At 41.3% G+C, this 7,920-nt stretch overlaps 1 annotated feature.

Moving 5' to 3' along the window:
* Nucleotides 975-2,174: an enhancer, noted in NCBI's record as "CDK7 strongly-dependent group 2 enhancer chr7:67583393-67584592 (GRCh37/hg19 assembly coordinates)". NCBI's record gives its function as "activates an origin of replication core promoter dependent on BRD2, BRD4, P300/CBP, MED14 and CDK7 cofactors, with strong dependence on CDK7, by STARR-seq in HCT116 cells {active_cell/tissue: HCT116}" and the evidence as "EXISTENCE:reporter gene assay evidence [ECO:0000049][PMID:35650434]".

The following is a 7,920-nucleotide window of genomic DNA, read 5'->3' on the forward strand; positions in this document are numbered from 1 at the left end:
GACGTTCTTGCAGGTGAGAAGAGTGAGACTTGGAGGCATTCAATAACTGTCCTAAGATAAAACAGTAAGAAGAAGCAGAGCAGACAGAGCACCCAGGATGTTTGTTATTTTTATTTTTCATAACATTTCATAAAATAATGTTATAATGCTTATCTCTCTCTCTCTCTCTCTCTCTCTCTCTCTTTTCTGAGACAGACTCTTGCTGTCACCCAGGCTGGAATGTAGAGGCACAGTCATAGCTCACTGTAGCCTTGACCTCCCCTGCTCAAGGTATCCTCCCACCTCAGACTTATGAGAAGCTGGGACTACAAGTGCGCACCACCACACCTGGCTAATTTTTTTTTTTTTTAATTTTGCAGAGATGGTGGTCTCGATATGTTGGTTGGCTGATCTCGAACGGGGTTGAAGCAATTCTCCTGCCTCGGCCTCCCAAAGTCTTGGGATTACAGGTGTGAGCCACCATACCCAGTCTTGTACCTCTTTTAAATATTTGTTCACTATTTATTCAATGAGGTCAGGATCAGCATATCACCAACCATGTCAAGGGCAAATCACCAAAGCAGAAGTCCAGAGCAGAGACCACATTTCTGATTTAGTATGACAGGTTGACCTGCCCTGGGACCCTGTCTCTTAATCTGGTTCAGAGACAGAGTTTTGGATTGGAACTCAAATTTGCTGGTTCCATAGCCTGTGTACTGGGCTATGGCACTCAGACCTCCTGATTCCTGGACAAGTGTACTTTCCTTGTGAACCCCTCTCTGAAAATCGAAAATGAACATGGCACGGTTTTCTCCATCCAGGTCATTCCAGAGGTACTTCTTGTCCACCTACTTTGTGCAGAGTAATAAGCATGGGACCAGGCAGGCAGGGTCTAGCCTCACCTAGAGGATAAGACCAGGCTGAAACATGCAACTGCATTTGCAGGCTGTGGTTTAACATTTGTCTCTGGAAATTCCAGCCAGGTGGGGCTGGTCTTGACTTTTCTGGCAGGAATTTCTTTAGGAAGCTTTCTTTTCTGGTTCCTGATGTTTGGCTTTCTGCAGGAAGGTGCCTGTAAACCTTCTTCCCATGGATTCTGACCTTGCTGCTTGTAATCTGATCTTTGCTTTGCTCTTTCTTGCAGGAAAAAGCTTCCACTGCACAACTGGAAGAAACCACTGCCTTGGGAATTTTCTGTCCTGCAACCCTCAGCTACCCCCTTCTGGAATGCTGCCACCATGACTGCTAGAGACACTTCGTGGAAGCCCACAGGACGTGTCACCTTTTCTCATGGGCTCATTTTGTGGGCCAGGCACAAGCTTCTGTTCATTCCACCTATGGGGTTTGTAGGTCAACTCTCTGCAGCACCTGTTTAATCTCTAGAAGAAATGCTGATAAAACTTGGAAATGTCGTAGCTTAGGTATCTTCATTTTGATTGAAACAAATTTTGCAAAAATTATGACCGTGAGAGAAATATGACATAGAAAAATTACGACAGGGAAAGAAATCTCACCTAACTCATTCCATCTTGCTTCTAACCTCCAAGCTGCTTTTGTTCAATCCTGGACATAGACCAACCTAACCATGGGAGAAATTTAATTTATAGTTTAACTCTGAATCAAGGATGAGTGTCCCTTTCTAAAACAGACCCCCTCCTTGTCCTGATACTGAAACCACCTTTGTAAGACCCAGGAAAGACCACGAAATTGAGATTATAGGAAGGGTCTGAATTCTGCTAAGATGTAGGCATAGTTAAATAATAACCTGCCATTGTTCCATAGCTTGCTTTCTTATAATCCCTAATCACTCAGGATTCATGAAGCCACAGGTCATAAGATTTGTGACTTCCCCAATTGCTCATATAAATAACATCACTACTGTAGAATCTCAGAGGGGCCTTTTGAGATGTTTTCCAGACTTTTGCATTGTGACAACTAACTCCACTTGAACCCATGACTCATGACTCAACCAGTCCTGTGGTCCCCACCCAAAGGCTGACTCAGCAGACGAGGACTGTTTTCCACACCCCTATGATTGTATCTCCAACCAATAAACAGCACCCATTGCTTAGCCTCTCCCGGGCCAAATTATCCATGAAAACCTTAGCTTCCAAGCTTTCAGGGAGACTGATCTGAGTAATAAATTTCTATCTCCTGCTTAGCTGGCTCTGTGTTTATTAAACTCTTTCTCTATTGCAATACTGCTGTCTCGGTAAATTGGCTCTATCTGTGCAGTGGGGGAGAAGAATCCATCAGGCAATTACACGATTACTCCTTAATATTTAATTAACAGCAATAGTCATAAAGCACTATTTCCACACAGTCCTCAGAGGCCCAGTGACATAACCATGACACTCAAGTTCTTCAAAGTGATGCCTTAAACTTTCTGGGCTTTGTTCGCGTCCCAGATATGATGGAAATCGTTTCATTGCTTCCCTTTAGGAAGTTAAACTTATTTCTGATTCATGCCCTAACTGCATCCAGTTCTCTCTCCTGTAGTATTTTCTGCTCAAACCAAATGGGGCTTGTTGCATTTTTATCCTCATCCACAGCATGTATTTCTACACTGCCACCCCTTTGTCCAAGCCATTTCTTTTGCCTGAGATGCCATTCTCATGGATGGATCTCTGCCTTCCCACAGTCCACTCATGCTTCAAAATGCCTCTGAAAATAAAGATATCAAAAAGACACCTGCACTTGTATGTTTATCACAACATTATTCACAGTAGCAAAGATGTGGAATCCACCTAAGTGCCCATCAATGGAAGATTGGATTTTAAAAATGTGCTATATAAATACCATGAAATACTACTCAGCCATTAAAAAGAATGAAATGAAATCTTGTCGTTTGTAGCAACACGGATGGAACTGGAGGTCATAATCCTAGGTGAAATAACTCAGGAACGGAAAACCAAATACCTCACAGTCTCACTTGTAAGTGAGAGCTAAACAATGGGTACACGTGGACATACAGAGAGAATAATAGACAGTGGAAACTACGAGAGGTGGGAGGCTGGGAGGGGCTGAGGGCTGAAAAAGTACCTACTGGGTACAATGTTCACTATTCGGGTGATGGGTACATGAAAAGCCCAGACTTCACCACTCCACAATATATTCCCTAAGAAACCTGCACTAGCACTCCCTAAATATATAGAACTACAAAAAAATTTAACCCAAAACAAACAGAAAAGCGCTTCCAAATGACAGATGTTTTATGCTGTGCTATGGAATGTGGGGAACACATTCAAAATTCAGAGATTTTTTATGTCTGCCTCAGCAGGTTCTTTCCGCTGGGCTCCCTCTTGTCTCTGACAAACTAGGATGCATGGAGAGATCACACACACACACACACACACACACACACACACACGCATAAATACATATATACATACTTATAACTACATATATACATATTTATAACTAACATATGCATACATATGTATCACATCTGTCTGTATCTGCTTATCTATCTCTATATCCATCTATAACTATTTATCTACCTCTGTATCCATCTATTTCTATCTATCTGTCTATCTATCCGTTTCTCTCTCTCCATCTATACATATCTATCTATGATCTATGTATCGATCTATTGATCTCTATCTATGTATCTATCCCTATTCATCTATCCATATTCCTATCCATCCATTTTTTCTCTCCATCTATACATATCTATCCATCTCTTCCTCTATACCTGTCTATGTATGTATGTATGTATGTATGTATGTATCTATCTATCTATTCCTATTCATCTGTTTCTCTCTCTCCATCTATACATATCTATCTGTTATCTATCTACCTATCTATTCCTATCCTATTTATCTCTCCATCTATACATATCTATCTACCTATCATCTATCTATTATCTATCTACCATCTATCTATTGTCTATTATCTTTCTATCTATCATCTATCTATCTATCTATCTATCTATCTATCTATCATCTATCTCTCTATCTATGTATCTAATTTATTCTTCACAGTATGGCTTTGTGTCATTTATCTTTTATTGCTTCCAACAACACTCTGGGGTATAAACTAGTGTTATCCTCATTTTCAGAAGCAGAAACTGAGATGCAGAGAGATAAAGCAACTTGTCCATTTTTCCTCTGAGTTTATCCCATTGGAACTTTGGGACCCGATCTCTTATAAATATATTCTCCAGAGCATCTAGCACCATGCTTGCTTATTAAACGAATGAACACAAGTGTTCAAATAATAAGAGAATGTCTCAGGATGCTACAGTCTGATTTGCTTCCAGGCCTACTGCTGGTTGGGTCCGTGCATGTAATGTCAGGGGTGGATAACTTGGCTGCTATGACATATTCCATTTGAGGAATAATTTAGAAGTGTGGCCGCAAGATAAAAATGTCAGTCTGGCTCTGGGTTAACCGGTGTTTCTAATTAAGCCACGATATACAGTGCTCACAGCCAAATACAGTGTGGCTCCGGCGATAACTCAGCAAATAGTGTGTTGTCTTCATTATCTCATTCCCTGACATTTCCCTGATGAGTTTATAAATCCCTGTGGAATCATGGCCTCGATCTCTTTAATGAGGCCTTTAAAAACCGGGGAAAATTGTAGCAGCAGATAAGGTTGGCTCCGCTGTAGACCTTCTTTATAGAGATTTCTCCTCCCCTTAGTGAAGTAAACACCATTTGCTAGACCAAGGAGTTTAATTCCATGTGAATTGTTCAGGGCATATGATTAATTCAAGCAGCAAACAAATATTAAAAGCAGTTTCTGTCTTCCCTGACCTAGTGGGTAACAGAAATGGAAATATTCCTTTGCTCTAGTAAAGAGAAGAGTAGAGGTCAGTGGCTCACGCCTGTAATCTCAGCACTTTGGGAGGCCGAGGCAGGTGGATCACCTGAAGTGAGGTTCAAGACCAGCCTGGCCAACATGGTGAAACCCCATCTCTACTAAAAATGTAAAAATTAGCTGGGCATGGTAGTGGGCACCTGTAATCCCAGCTACTCAGGAGGCTGAGGCAGGAGAATTGCTTGAATCCGGGAGGCAGAAGTTGTAGTGAGCTGAGATGGTGCCACTGCACTCCAGCCTGGGCGACAGAGTGAGACTCTGTATCCAAAAAAAAAAAAAAAAAAAAAAAAAAAAAAAAGGGTAGAGTGGAGAGTCTGGCTTTCATAGTCATGAACCCAAGTAATAACTTTCTAATATTCAATGTTTACTGACCCCCTACTGTGTGCTAAACCATGGGGTAGGTGCTGAGGTTACAGCAATGAGTAGGGAACTTGGAGAAAGCTATGCAGTGGCATGAAAAGTACTGAGAACCATCAATCCATCAATGAGTAGGAGGAATACATAACCCTGATGGGCCAGACATGTGTCTGCAGCACACAACCCTATTTCCAACCCCTTATATGCCCCCGTTGGGATTTCAGGTGCAGAACAGGACCTGGGGCCTTGTTTTCCCCATTTCCTTGCCAGCAGGATTCTGGTTTACATGCTGCTCTGAGAGTCACACATGCAAGATTTGGAAGGAGGAAGAGAAGCAGAAGCCGTTTCCACTCCCCTGCCAGTGACAGGCAGAATCAACGGTTTGGGCAGACGTGCAATTCGGCACTGCAACACCTGTTGGCGGTGCTGCGGGCAGCTGTGATCTTCCCTGTGAGTTCCTGGCCTGAGCGACACTGGTGGTTTCTTGTTTCCTTGAATAGTAGTGCTGTGCCTTAGAGAGAAGAAGTCTTTCCTGACTTTTGCTGCTCTGCCCTTGATACTATTGCTTGGAGAAGACGGGGGCTATTAGTATTAGTGATTCTAATGAATATGAGCGGCTTGTCTTCCCCTCCAACCATCTGCCCAATTCTACTGAGACACCTTAAAGGCAGAAGTAGCTCCTCCACGCCTGAGGAATCCCATCTCTCTTTGCTTAAAGTCTGCAATGATGTTATCTGAGAGAGTCATCTGGCAAAGAACCAACCTCAAGAAGTCTCTCAAGAGCCACCACTGCCACCTCTCATTGTCTCTAGGTGAAACCTCAGTTTTTCCTAGAGAGATGTGTGCAAGGTCTGACCTATTGTTATCAAAATAATAGCAATCATTTGTAATTAGTGTTGTTAGAATTTCAAGGAATATGGATGGGAATAAATTCGAAGAGGTGCAGATCTGAAATCTGGGAATATTTTTCTTTTGGGAGAGGCTCCTAGTAATTCCATTCCTTATAGTTTAAGTTGATTGAAGAGTGTAGCAAATATAGCCATGGCCACGTTTCATGAGGGATCTGATATTTCATGATGTAAAGTTTGTTACCCAACCGGAGAGAAACCAAAGCTGAGGGAACATGGTGTGGATAGTGGAAAAAGGGAGTTCTAAATAACACTTGTGGCCTCACAAACAATTATAAGCAAACAAGCAAAATGGAGCACTGTAAAATATATGCACCTCTTCCTCTTCGCTTTATGTAAATATTTGCTTACAATAATCAATTACCTTTTAAGATTCTTCTCTTCTCTTCCAATTATACATAAGGAATATTGGTGGTGGTTAAACCAAGTGTTTATTTTTTAGGTTAAAGAATTGATATGGTTTGGCTCTGTGTTCCCACCCAAATCTCATCTTCTAGCTCCCATAATTCCCACCTGTTGTGGGCAGGCCCAGTGGGAGATAATTGAATCATGGGGTCTTTCCATGCTGTTCTCGTGATAGTGAACAAATCTCATGAGATCTGATGGTTTTAAAAATGGGAGTGTCCCTGCACAACCTCTCTCTCTCTTTGCCTGCCACCATTCATGTGAGATGTGACTTGCTCCTCCTTGCCTTTGATTGTGAGGCCTCCCCAGCCACGTGGAACTGTGAGTCCAATTAAACCTCTTTCTTCTGTAAATTGCCAAGTCTCCTGTATGTCTTTATCAGCAGCGTGAAAATGGGCTAATACAAGAATACTTAAGAGAGATTGGAACTGAGTAGAAGAACCAACATCTGCCAGAGATGGATACAGTATCTGATGGGACTAGAACCTTTTTCTTTTTGGGTAGAGAGTAAGTACATCTTTGTTTATACAATGTAGAGCTATATTATGTTAAGAGGAAGCATGATATTGCTGCTTTCTTTGAAGTTAAATATGAAGAATATATGCACAGATAAGGAGAAGTCAGAGGGTTGTCTGTGCCAGGTTTTCATCTGTTGGTATTTGGCACCATTCTCGCTTCTCTCTGTGTCTTCCCCACAGTGCAAGGCTCATTCTTTAAGATTTATTTAATCATTGTGTAGAGCGTGGACCATTTTCCATCACAAAGGACCAGTGAATGTGAGAAGCTGCAGAATTTACCTTCACATTAATTCACCATGAATACATAAATAAATAAAAAGATGGATTCTCTGTTGGGTGCTAAGCAATTGGAAAGAAATCCTGTAAATTTTTCTAATCTGTGGTCTTCCCCCCAAATCCAGCACATCTGCTCAAAACCTAGAAAAAAAAACAAAAAAAATTCTGTTTTCTTTTTGCCATATTAGTCTGGTTTGTAAATAATAAAGAATTTTAAAGTGAAAAAAAAAAAGAAAAAGTAAACTTCTTTCACAGGGCTGGAGGAAAGGGAGAATGAAGATTTTCTGGTCAATAACTCAACCTTTCACCATGTTACAAACCAGATTATGGTAATGCCTCTTGCTTTCCCTGTATTTTCCAGTTGATTCCTCATTGTGCTGGATGTTTTTAAAATAACTTTGCATCATCACAAACCCTTCTAGAGTCTTTCCTACACTGCAGGAGAGAGGTCTGGAGATATATTTCTTAGAATCTCCATCTCCATGTGGTTCTAAGTTAGAACTCTCCAAAGACAGGGCAAGCAGAAAAAAAAAGAAAGTAACACAAGCCAAAAAAAGGCAAAAAAGAAAGAGGAGCTTTTAGTAGCAGAAGTAGTAGTAGTAGTAGTATTGATGGCAGGTGCACATAGTCACATGGGCAGACAGCCAATATGAAG

Source organism: Homo sapiens, chromosome 7 (genome assembly GCF_000001405.40).
Source record: "Homo sapiens chromosome 7, GRCh38.p14 Primary Assembly".
In the NCBI taxonomy this organism is placed as follows: Eukaryota; Metazoa; Chordata; class Mammalia; order Primates; family Hominidae; genus Homo; species Homo sapiens.